A 13215-nucleotide genomic window follows, 5' to 3' on the forward strand; every position below is an offset into this window, starting at 1 on the left:
ACAAATAAATGTATAATTACAAACCAGGGCCAATGTGCTGACAGATAATCATGTTTGATTTGTTGGTTGCCTTTGATTGAAGACTCCCTGCTGAGACAGGGAGGAATGTAAATCTGTTTTTCTCCTGAAGCCGGGAGCCTTGCATATTTTCACAAACCTCCAAAATGGTTGCATTTCATACAGCTAACTGGAATTGGGTATGCTTCCTACAAGCATAGAAGCTAATTTTATTCAAACAACTCTACCACTTTATTGCTTCTGTAGAGCTTCCCTAGAAACTTCAGAGGCACGAATTCCTGCCGTGATACAAAGCCAATTGTCCAATTGTAGAAGCTGGGGGGTTTACCAGAAGACTCTGATGCCAAATGCTTATGGAAATGCAGGAGGTGGAGTGGGGGAGGATCTCCAAGCACTTACAGGAGACTCATTTTCCCCTCAGCATCCCTGCACCACAAAATAGAAGAGGCAGGGATATGATGAATGGCACTTGGTATTCCATTACTTTTCTTCCAGTTACCCTACACTAGAAGATGTCTAGTAAAACAATGCTCAAGGTGTGGGGGATGGGCAGCAGTCACTTCAGAATGAGGGCAAAAACCCAGCCGGATACTTCGGTCAGCAAAAAGCAGTGGGTTGGCACCAGCTCCTTTCAGCTGTGGCCAGTTTAATGAAGTTTGTACGCAGCTATTAGTGCTCCCCACGTGGGTTTAGGCAGGGAAGACCTAGAGGCATTTTATTTCAAAATAGGTTTGTATTGAGAATCCTAGAAGGAAAATTCACCTGTGCCCTTAACACTGGCAGTGTGCATTTTTGATTGCCTGTTGATCTTACATCTTTTCACTAATGCTTTTCCTTGTTTTCGGTAAGGAAGCAACTCCCACACAACTTTCCTTTGGAAAAGAACAATTCTACCTTTACCAGTTGGGCAAACATTCCCCAAGCGGCAAAAACAGCTACTTTCTCCCACCTCTTCTCCCCACTGCAGAGAATATCCAGCAGAGGAAACCCTTAATCGTTCATTTATATTTTAGCACACACACGTGCATGCGCACACACACGCTTTTCTGCACCTTCCCTGTTCAGGTTTGGCACAGGTGTCCCAGGCTGGAAGGCGCCCGTGGGACCTGGCACGCCCTGAGCTGAGTTTCCAGCGCCTCATGAGAGTGTCCTCTGCTGCGGGACAGACGCCCGAGGCTGCCCTAGGGATCCTGGCCACTGTGAATGAGCTGCGCTTGCCCTCTGAGGGGTTGGTTGTATGGTTGTATCCCACTCCATCCCTGCACCCTGCCGGGTAAGGAACCACCTGAATGCATTTCCTTTAAATAACCTACAAACTGCACAGTGAGTAGAGGGATTTTCTTCTTTCTTTGCCGAGTTGTGGGAAGACATCAAACACCAGAATCAGAGCCGAGAAAGGAGTGAGGAAGTGACTGAGGAAGATGCACTGTCTTGTCTCCAGAGCATCTTTTATCCAAACAGCCTACGCCTTTTTATAAACTTTTCAAGTGCTCCCAAGCAAGGAGTGAATACTAATGCTATCTGCCTGCTTGGTCAAGGCTAAGGTAGAGTAGGATAGAAACCACGCTCCCTAGAGAAGCCTCTGATGCCTCCAGGACTAACCCCTAACCCCACTCCACCCTCTCCTCCCCCTCCTACCTCTTCTCCCATCCTCCCTCTTCTCCTCCTCCCCCTGCCTATTTTCATTCCTCCTCCTCCCTCTCCTCTCCCTTCTCCCCTTCCTCCTCCCCAACTCCTCCCTCCTCTTCTCCCCTCTTCTCGTTTCCTCCTCTTCCCTCTCCTCCCTCCTCTTCCCTCTCCTCCCTCCTCTTCCTTTCTCTACTCTCCCTTCCCCCTTCTCCTTCCTCTCCTCTCTCTTCCTCTCCCTCCTCATTCCTCCACCTCCCCCTCCTCATCCTCTCCCTCTTCCCCTTCTCCTTTCCCTCCTTGTCCCCCACTCCTCCTCCTACCTCCCTCCTTCTCCTCCTCCCCCTCCTCCCTCTTGTTTTCTCCCCCTTCCCCCTTCTCCTCCCCCTCCTTCTCCTCTCCCTTCTTCTCATCCTCCTCCCCCCTTGCCCCTCCTTCTTCTTCCCCTTCTCCTTCCACTCTTCCTCCTGCTGCTTCTTCCTCCTCCCCCTCCCCTCCTCTCCTTCTCCTTTTCCTCTCCTCCTCCCCACTCCTCTTCCTCTTCCTCTTCCCCTCTCCCTCCTCCTCCCCCTCCTTTTTCCTATTATTACCATCATTTCACTATTATCATGAAGCACTTTCTAAGCTTGTGGGCTTTGTTACCACACTAGATGCATGTAACCTTCCATGGATGCCTCCATTTACCCTAAAATGAGGATGCTAATAGGGCTCACTTAAGAAAACTCCTGTTTCAATGAGTTGATTTATCTAAAGCGCCTCTCACAGTTCCTAGCATATAGAAAAACTCAATAAATGACAGTTGTTATGATCTCAACTCCTATTTTGTTTTTTTACCATGTTTTCTCGACTCCATTGGAAAGCTCTTTATGATTTTCCTTTCAAAATTCTTATCATCCTGTTAGTCTCCACGCAAATGCCACCTCCCCAATAAAGCCTCCTACCCCAGAATCAAAAGTGGCCACACTCCTTTTCACTTCCCAGCCAAGATCTTGGGTCTCTCTTGGCACCTCTTTCCTCCAACCTGATCCAATGTTCCTCGTGGATCTTCTTACCCCTCCTGCCAGGCTGCAAGTTTGTTTAGGAAATCTCTGCTACATATTTTTTCTATGTTACCTCAGAAACCACTTAACCTCTGTGTCACAGTTTTCTACTTTTGGAAAATGGGGGGCACATTAACTGCACCATGTTCAATCAAGTCAGCCTGAAAGCTAAAAATAAGATGCTGTGTGTACGCACATGACACAGTCCCTAGCAAAAAGGATGCAATCCCAAGTAGAAGATGCTCAGAAAATGCTTGTGGGGTGACTGTAACAGCAAAATGACATTCTAGTACTTCGAAATTGACATTCTAACGCTGAGTTGCATGCACTGCGTCCGGGAGGTCTAGAATTGGCCATGCACAGTGTTGCCCTGGTGAATGGGACCAGCAGATGCAAGGCCACAGATAGCCTCGACTGTTCCCACTCACAGTGGGCGAGTTTGCAGTCACACAGATGCTACTGTCCACACAGCACTGTGAGCCAGAGGGGGCCCCTTCCAACTGCAGGCCCCACTGTTCCTGAGGGAGTTGCATCTGTGGCTGGAGTCGTGCCACCATATGTCCCTCTGTCCTAGCACGTGGCCAGGGGCTTCTCCAAGCACAGGCACCACTGTCCTTCCCGCGGCACATCTGCAAGGAAACCCAATTGCCTCTCAGAGAACTGGGCCAGCTGAACTGTAAACATATTCAAGACACATCAATAGGTAAAGAAAACCAGCCATTGCAAGTCAGCCTGAAAGAAACCTCATGCCACTGTCAGACACTGACCGGCCCTGCCAGCTCTTGCTCACTGTATTTCAAAGAAACACTCTCATTACACCTTCCTCTCAGGGATGTTCATTTCTTCCAAGGTCGTTTGGACATAATTTCAAACTTGCAGAAAATTTGCAAAAATAAGAATAATATGAAGAATACGCATCCATTCTTTGTTCGTTTTGTTTTTGAGGTGGAGTCTTTCTCTGTTGCCCAGGCTGGAGTGCAGTGGAGCGACCTCGGCTCACTGCAACCTCCACTTCCTGGGTTCAAGTGATTCTCCTGCCTCAGCCTCCCAAGTAGCTGGGACTACAGGCGCATGTCACCACACCCAGCCTTTTTTTTTTTTTTTTAGTAGAGACAGGGTTTCACTGTGTTGGCCAGGCTGGTCCCAAACGCCTGACCTCAAGTGATCCGCCTGCCTCAACCTCCCAAAGTGCTGGGATTACAGGTGTGAGCTACTGTGCCCAGCCAGAATATGCATTTATTTTTCACACAGATTCATCTATTGTTAACATTAGTCCCTTTCACTTCCTCATACACAGACGTACATACAAACCACACACATGCACACACACTTATTTTCTGAGACATCCGAGTCAGTTGTGTGCATTATAGCCCTTTACCCCTAAATTCTTCAGTGTGCATTTTCTGAGAATGGAGATATTCTCTTCCAAAACTGTACTACAGTGATGAACTTTAGTAAATTCAACATTGATACAGTATTTTAACCCAGTCTGCTACTGTCCTACGCCAATGTTGTTAATAAAGTCATCATTTCTTAAATTCTCTTCCAAATTAAAAAAAAATGACAATCTCAACTAAATGGAATAAAGTCATATTTATTTTAATATCCTCAGTTTTTGAAGTAAATGAAAACACACACATAACTGACAGTGCTATAAGCAGCCCACGTAGGTTTACCTTATATCTTTTTATGTCTTTATTGTCATTAAAAAAAAAATCACCTCAGAGCCCTGTGCGTATGTGTAGGCTGGTGTCACAGGTGTTTTAACCAGGGAACACCAGCAGGTAATTAATGCCCCCAGGGAATGATTTACCTGGAGTGAGGTCTGCCAAAGCCGGTAGCAGTGATGTTATCCATTCTTTTGGCAATGGATAACTGCTAAATAATTATCCATCATTATCCACTGAGCATCTCCTGTAGGCTGGGCATTGAAGATACAAATTCGAAAAGACAGTCTCTCTCAGGCAGGGTGCGGTGGCTCACGCCTGTAATTCCAGCACTTTGGGAGGCCAAGGTGGATCATTTGAGGTCAAGAGTTCGAGACCAGCCTGGCCAACATGGTGAAACCCCACCTCTACTAAAAATACAAAAATTAGCTGGGTGTGGTGGTGGGCGCCTGTAGTCCCAGCTACTCGGGAGGCTGAGGCAGGAGAATCGTTTGAACCTGGGAGGTGGAGGTGCAGTGAGCAGAGATTGTGCCATTGCACTCCAGCCTGGGCAACAGAGCAACTCTGTCACAAAAAAAAAAAAAAAAAAAGAAAAGAAAAAAGAAAAAACACTTTCTGATTGAAGTTTGCTCACATGGCAGTTAAGAGCACAAACTCAGAAGCAAGATGAACCTGGATTGTATCACACGTAAACCATCTACTTGTAGTGAGAGCTGGGCAGGCTACTATGTTTGAGCCTCAGTTTCTTCCACTGGGAAATGGGAGTCACAGTAAAAGGTACCCTGTAGGATTGCTGCAGTGATCAAATGATGACATCTACCAAGTGCGTGTTGACTATATGAATGGTGGGGAGACAGGCACAAAAGCACACCATCGTAATACACTCAATGAGTTGCTATAATGACAGTCTAGAGTGCCTGGTCGAGGGATCCCAGGAGATAGATGGAGCCCCCGAGTCTTGCAAGTGGAGAGATGGTCTCAGAGGAGGCTTTTGAACTGAGATTTGAAAGGTGACTTATAAGCTTGCTGGCAGGAGTCTGGAAGCTGAAGGGAAGGAAGAGGAGGGAAGGGGAGGTATTTCATATTCCATAGAGAGGAAACTGCATGTGCAAAGCATGGATGACTGAGAGACTACAAATTAGTTCATTGTGACTGGACTCAGAGCTAGAGGTACAGTTCAGTAAGAGATGAGGCTGGAAAAATACTATGGCCACGATGGCACAAGTGATTTCTAGGTAAAATGCCTGCGAACAATTGCACACTAATAGAATCAACCACACCATCTTTCAGTCATGCACTACCAGGCACCGTCTACCAGCTAAGGCAAAACCACAGCAAGCTAAGCTGCCGTGTGCAGGTCTGCTCATCCTCCCTTTTCATAGCTCAAAATAGCTATTTTTCACACACACACAAATTCTGATTGTCAAATTAGTAACGCTCATTATAGATTATTTTGAAAATATAAAACAAATCTCTCTTCCCCCTTTCAATTAAGAAACTCTCACTTAGTAATAGCTTTGTTATCTGGCATGTCAAGTTAATTAAAAGGCTGGTTAGCTGCATATTAAGTCATATAACTCCCTGCAGTCGACTTTCCCTCCTAGGACGTGAGGAGAAACTGCTGCCCTATTGTCCCAGCGCCGTTTCTCAGGGGTTGCTTATTTCATTTCCGGGGAGAGAGTCCCATCCTGGCATGCAACATTGCTGGTTTTTCTAAAGGCGGTCCATTTTAAAAGCAACAGATTTTGCTGAGTAAAAACCTGAGCTTTTAAATAAGGCTCATTAGCCTTCGTGCTTAACCGGAAGCTTGAAGCGGAATCACCTGGAGAGCTTTTCCAGCTCACACAGGCAGGATCCCTTCCCCTCTCAGTAAGGCTGGTGGGTGGGGCTGGGCGTGTGTACTGGGCTACAGCTCCCCAGGTGATGCTGCTGCACACCGTGGTTAAGGACCTCTCCATCGGGGTGTTTGTTTATTTGCTTCACGCTCAGCCAAAAGGGGCCCAAGAAGAACTAGGATAGTCAAAGCCCCCAAGCTGGAGTCCGTCATTAGAGCGCCACTCACCCCATTGTTCTTTTAAATAGACCAGTCCCCCGGTGCTTTTAAAATGGCACACGTATACATATGTAACTAACCTGCACGTTGTGCACATGTACCCTAAAACTTAAAGTATAATAAAAAATAAAATACAGTTTACTCTCAAAAAGTAAGTGCTCGCTCCTTGTCTTCCAGCAACAGATTTGCTAAGGTGGCTGAAGCACAGCTTTATAATCAGGCCGCAACTCGGCTCTGTCAGCAATTAGTGAAAGCAGAACAAAGCAGAAATTTGATTCATCCAGCTTATTTGTCTTGTCAACTTTGCCTTTTTTAAAAAAAGCTTTTTTCTGATTTTTAAAATATTGCCTTATATAAATGCTGATTAACAGGTTGTGTTTCACTTTTCTAGAAGAGAGATTTTAACGGAAGCGTGTAGGTTCTCTCCAAGCACTGAAAATCGGGCTCCGTTTATAAACACTGGTTTGACGTGAAATTCTTTGAGAATGTAGCTTATGCATTGAGATAGCCGCAGCTGCTACAGATATGGCGTGGATGTCCAAAACTCTCCACATTGGTGCTAGCACAGTCCACCTCTTGGCAAAAGCGGTGTTGGGGTAGGGGGTACAGAGTAATGAGCATTTCCCTGCATATCTCTGCCCAGAGGGTCTCCGTCCCCATCAGAGCTGCAGGGATGCAGAGCTTCTTGCTCCAGACCTTGAACTCAGCCGCCTTGTCGTTCCACGTGCACGCTTCCCTATCCCTTCTCTGGATGTTTGTGAAAAACTAAGATAAAAATCACAACAGTCTTGAGAAACACCTGACTCAATTCTTACATGTTAGAAGAAAAAACAGCATTTCCCCACCTTTATGTTTTTATTGTGTTTTGTTTTATTTGTGGTTTGTGGAACAGCAAACTGTTAAATCCAGCTGTAACACACACACACACACACACACACACACACGCGCGCGAAAACATGTTGGAGGGACCCAGGAGTCTCTACCAAGGGCAGGAAATACAGCTGAGCCTTGCAAGGCACTGGAGCCACTGGCTGGAGGGAAGGAGTCATAGCTCTTGGTCTATCTGGGGCTGCCTGGTCTCTGGTGTTCTTTGCATTTCCGCTTTATTCTCTCACAGACCACCTTTCTCTGCTTATCTCCATGTAGATCCTCAGTCCAAGTGTCTGACAGAACTTGCAGTCTCTGAGTCACAATGTCTAAGTTGACTGTAGTGAACATCTGCTTTGGAGCCAAGGAGAGGGTAGGGTGGGTACCCCTGACCCACAGCTCGCTCAGTGTGGCTGCGTTGAGGGGGCAGGATTGGCTTCTCTAGCACAATTTTCCACCGCACCATTTCATCGCTGTCTTTCATAAATATTTGTATGTTTCTGTTTCCTTTGTCCTCATAGTTCATGTGGTAAGCATTGCTGGTGAAACATCTGTTGATTTTGCCTACATAGCATCCTTCTTCCAGCATCAGAACCCCTCTTTTCCTGTTGGAAATACCCTTTGCCCCACACTGCCCTGTGGTTCAGGCGAGTCCGCCGTCTTCCACTCCCCCAGCTTCCTGGCAGTTGAGTCACAGTGATTTGTTTAGAGGATGAGCATGTAACCCAGCCAGGGCCAATGAGAGGCTTAGTTAGGATTTTTGCTGAACCTATTAGGAAAGGAATGTTCTCTTTTGCTGAAGTTGCCAAATTCAAGCTTGGAGGTGCTTGTGGCCATCTTGGCTTGCCCCAAAATGAAGCCAATAGAGAAAAAAAGCTGAGTCAAGAAATAGGGGCCGGGCATGGTGGCTCACGCCTGTAATCACAGCACTTTGGGAGGCTGAGGTGGGTGGATCCCTTGAGGTTAGGAGTTCAAGACCAGCCTAGCCAACATGGTGAAACCCTATCTCTACTGAAGATACAAAAATTAGCTGGGCTTGGTGGTGCATGCCTGTAGTCCCAGCTACTCAGGAGGAGGCTGAGGCAGGAGAATTGCTTGAACCCTGGAGGCAGAGGTTGCTCTGAGCCGAGATCCTGCCACTGCACTCCAGCCTGGGTGACAGAGCAAGACTCCATCTCAAAAAACGAAAACAGAAGAAGAAATAGGAATAAATTATGGACAACATGGTGTTTGAGTAACTAAATATGAACATGTCTGAAGCAAGTGAACAGAAAGAATCTCTCTTTTGCTTAAGGTGATTTGAGTTAGATTGTTGTCCCTTGCACTGAAAAGAATCCCACCTAAAGCAGCCATGGAAAGAAGTTGCCTACATTTTTCTTCATCAGTTTCAGCCTCATCAGCCAACATTCAAAGAAAGAAAGAGCTGGACCGGCCAGTAGCCCTCAAGGAGCCCAAGGCTTCCTGGTACAGAGGAGCTCCAAGCCTCAGAGGTGAAGAGATTTGCTTAAGGCAGCTCAGCCCCTAACATTTTCACTCAGAACAAGATCACAAGTGGGAGACCCACCTACTCCATGTCTAAATATTTAAACATTACCAATCAAACTAACAAACCTTTTTTTTTTTTTTTGAAATGGAGTCTTGCTCTATCACCCAGGCTGGAGTGCAGTGACGTGATCTCAGCTCACTGCAACCTCTGCCTCCCGGGCTCAAGAGATTCTCCTGCCTCAGCCTCCCAAGTAGCTGGAATTACAGGTGCCCGTCACCACACCCAGCTAATTATTTTGTATTTTTTTTTAGTAGAGATGGGGTTTTACCATTTTGGCCAGGCTGGTCTCGAACTCCTGACCTCAGGTAATCTGCCCACCTTGGCCTCCCGAAGTGCTGGAATTACAGGCGTGAGCCACCATGCCTGGCTGAAACTAACAAAACTTTTAAAGATAACATATCCTTCTACCTTGATATATATGCACACCTTCATTTATGACCTAGAAGACTAGATCCAAGTTAAGAGTTCTCAGGCTCCTTGGAATTTTTTCCCGGAACACGTTGGCATGGGGAGAGCCAGCTGCCAGCACATGATACCACCTCCTTTCCCATCCCACTCCCTCCAGCTCCATCTTGCACTGAGAAAGTCCTCACATGCACCTGGGTGCACATCTCGGCCCACAGGTCCAAGTTCTGCTGGCCGTCTCCCCACAAAAAAGCTGCCCCTTCTTTAGCCTAAGGCTTCAGTATAGTCTGCCCTCAGGAGGATGGACCAAGCAAAGAACCTGGGCAGGTCCTAGAAATAGGCCCAGAACATTTGAGCGGGGAATCCTGGGTATCCAGAGAATGTTCTAAAATAGGGAGGCCCAGGCCTTGAGGGATACATTCCTTAGCCCGGCATTTCCCCCTAAGAAAGGAGCCACACCTGCAGGAGAGCAGATCCTTGAAAGCATGGGGCCAGAGGAGGGCCCTTGTTGCCAGAATTAAGGGCAGTTCTAGGCTGAGGTTGTTAAAACAAACTAAACGTGGCCTGAGAAGGACTGAAGGACACAAGGACTGAAATACAGAAGTACAGAGTCCTGGTTTCTACCCCACTATTGCTATTTTTGTTTGACTACAGTTTCCATATTCTACATTTATATAGAACATTTAGGATCTGGCTTACTGTTTGATTATGCAGGGGGCTACTGGGTTGCCAGGAACTTATTCTGTCAGGGAAAGGTGTTTGCACAATACTTCTGATTGCATCTCTTATGACAAGGTGAGATTCTGTGGTCCCATTGGCTGAAGACATGTTTGTATTACAAATTCATTTTGATAGGAATGGTCCTGAATAGGCACAAGGTACACACCACACACTGTAAGACAGTCCTAAGGGCCAAGTCACTTGCAGAATTGCAACTCGATTTACTTCCTAATTTCTCAAAGCACTCTGAATGATGAATATGTAAACAAAAGTCTCTTTTATCGGCTCTGCTGGGAAAATATAGGCATCTGCAGCTATTTTCAAGATATTCATGCTTCAGGATTATTACAGATATATTACTGGGGGGAATAAGAGTTTACAATGATGATAGACCTGTGGGATTCAACAAATAAAACTTGGAAGTTCATAAACCGTTTGGATGGTCTGAGTTGGAAGGTGTGACTTTTGTTTTTGCCATTGGGCAAACACTCTTGAGTCTTATTAACGTAGAATGTTCTGGGCTGCAGTGGCCCTTGGAGATGGCCAAGTGCATCTTCCCTGTTACATCTATGGCAGGCCTGGGGCCAAGGTCATCCAGTCAGCTCCCTACAGATCAAGACCAGCAGGTCTCAGGATCTCAACTACCTAGCCCACACCAAACCTGCCTTCCTAAAAAAATTCCAATGGACAGTGCTCAGAATGAGTAAATAAATAGGAAACTAGACAGCTGCTGTTTCTAAGTCCCCAGCTCTGTTACCTCCTGTAATCTGTGTAATCTGATCCTGCAGATATGCTTCCTGGTAGGACATATCCCAGGAGAGGTTCTCCCTCACTCAGCGACATCTTTTTTTTTTTTTTTTTTTTTTTTTTTGCTCTGTTGCCCAGGCTGGAGTGCAGTGGCGTGATATCGGCTCACTGCAAGCTCCGCCTCCTGGGTTCACGCCATTCTCCTGTCTCAGCCTCCGGAGTAGCTGGGACTACAGGCACCCGCCACCATGCCCGACCAATTTTTTTGTATTTTTTTTTAGTAGAGACGGGGTTTCACCATGGTCTCAATCTCCTGACCCCGTGATCCGCCCGCCTCGGCCTCCCAAAGTGCATCTCTTCTTAACAGAACCCTAATGTCCTGTTTAACACGGTAAGTTGAAAAGGACCGCATTAGCACCAAAGATAAACTACACAGAAATGCCTCTAAGGAAATAAGCACCAGCCCCTTTTCTACAGGGTTTGAGAGTACTGGGCAGCATTCTTACCCTGGAATAGCCTCTCAGAGTCAGGGCAGGCTTAAACCACTTCCAGCGTTTGAGGATTCTAATATAGTTACTTGTTTGTTTTTTGAGACGGAGTTTCGCTCTTTTTGCCCAGGCTGGAGTGCAATGACATGATCTCCGCTCACTGCAACCTCCGCCTCCCAGGTTCAAGCGATTCTCCTGCTTCAGCCTCCCGTGTAGCTGGGATTACAGGTATACGCGACCATGCCTGGCTAATTTTGTACTTTTAGTGGAGTCGGGGTTTCACCATGTTGGCCAGGCTTGTCTTGAACTCCTGACCTTAGGTGATCCGCCCACCTCAGGCTCCCAAAGTGCTGGGATTACAGGCACAAGCCACTGCAACTGGCCTTAGTATAGTTTTTGATACAAGGAAGAAATGCCAACCCAGAATTATAAAAACTATCATATCCAGGATATTAAATATTTACTTCAACCAACTATAATGCAACATATTTTTTTGGTTCCCAGATAAGCGTATGATTTATTTTTAAAATATTCAGACTGCATCAGAGTCAATACAGCTCAGTCATAACACACAAGTGTAAAAGTCCTGGTTAATTTTTTTTTTTTTCGATCTTACGGGTGGCTCTCTGTGACAGTATTCATAATCTCATTTGGAGATAACTCCAAGCCTAAACTTGAGGCTGTTTCTGAATGGCAGGTCAATTCACACAGCCCTCTATCCCCACCCCGGGCTTTTGCCCCAGTCCTAGACTCATACTGATCCCAGATCCCAGATTTGGGGTGGGTGATCTGAACTCTGACCTGTGGTATTAGCTTCTGGAGACCAACATGGTCCCTCCAGACCAGGGCTGCTGTTCTGCCAGTGGGTTTTCAGCACGTCTGTCTACAGGTACCCAGAAGTCTACTTAAAGAAAATCTTTTCTGCCCCACCATACAGAATTCAGAAACAGCCCTGGTCATTTATTAACTCACTTTCTTTCTGCTCCTACTCTTCTTACTTTTTTCTTTTATTATTTTTATTTTTTCTAGATGGAGTCTCACTCTGTCGCCCAGGCTGGAATGCAGTGGTGCAATCTCTGCTCACTGCAACCTTCACCTCCCAGGTTCAAGCAATTCTCCCGCCTCAGCCTCCCAAGTAGCTGGGACTACAGGCGTGTGCCACCATGCCTGGCTAATTTTTGTATTTTTAGAAGAGACGGGGTTTCACCATGTTGGTTAGGCTGGTCTCAAACTGCTGACCTCGTGATCTGCCCGCCTCGGCCTCCCAAAGTGCTGGGATTACAGGCATGAGCCACCGTGCCCAGCCACTCTTTTTACTCTTTTACCAAATCCATGCACCACACTCTTTCCTTCCAACCACAGTTCTTTCCTAAGCTGCTACAGAGTTGCAAGCACTTGCTAAGTAATGGAGCTAGAATCCCACCAAAAGCAGTTGGTTCTGCAGCAGCTCTCCGCCCATGGAAGGAGACAATGTGTTTGTAAAGAGATCATGGCCATGCAGTTAGGTAAGTATGGAATTTTGTGTGTGTGTGTGTGTGTGTGTGTGTGTGTGTTTTCTTAACTTTACTCTTTATCTTCCCATTAGACTCGAAGCTCCATGAGGATAAATGGCAGCTGTTTTGTTCTCTTCTGTCTCCCCACGACCTGGCTGGCCCTTAGTAGGTGCTCAGTAAATATTTATTTGTTGAATAGACCAATACTTCACAGACTTTTATATTCTGCTATTTCATTTGACATTCTAGGAACTCAAAATGTCATTAAGTATTTTTCCATAGAATTATATGATCTTTGCAGCCAGGCATGGTTGCTCACGCCTGTAATCCCAGCACTTTGGGAGGCCAAGGCGGGCGGATCACCTGAGGTCAGGAGTTCGACACCAGCCTGGCCAACATGGTGAAACCCTGTCTCTACTTAAAATACAAAAAGTAGCCTGGCATGGCAGCGGGCACCTGTAATCCCAGCTACTGGGAAGGCTGAGGCAGGAAAATTGCTTGAACCCGGAAGGTGGAAGTTGCAGTGAGCAGAGATCGTGCCATTG

At 46.4% G+C, this 13215-nt stretch overlaps 2 annotated features.

The window, feature by feature from the left end:
* Positions 669-1169: an enhancer, noted in NCBI's record as "H3K4me1 hESC enhancer chr15:82350032-82350532 (GRCh37/hg19 assembly coordinates)". NCBI's record gives its function as "activates a minimal SCP1, AML or CMV promoter by ChIP-STARR-seq in naive H9 embryonic stem cells {active_cell/tissue: H9 hESC(naive)}" and the evidence as "EXISTENCE:reporter gene assay evidence [ECO:0000049][PMID:30033119]".
* Positions 1170-1670: an enhancer, noted in NCBI's record as "H3K4me1 hESC enhancer chr15:82350533-82351033 (GRCh37/hg19 assembly coordinates)". NCBI's record gives its function as "activates a minimal SCP1, AML or CMV promoter by ChIP-STARR-seq in naive H9 embryonic stem cells {active_cell/tissue: H9 hESC(naive)}" and the evidence as "EXISTENCE:reporter gene assay evidence [ECO:0000049][PMID:30033119]".

The sequence above is a fragment of the Homo sapiens genome, chromosome 15 (assembly GCF_000001405.40).
Source record: "Homo sapiens chromosome 15, GRCh38.p14 Primary Assembly".
Taxonomy (NCBI): domain Eukaryota; kingdom Metazoa; phylum Chordata; class Mammalia; order Primates; family Hominidae; genus Homo; species Homo sapiens.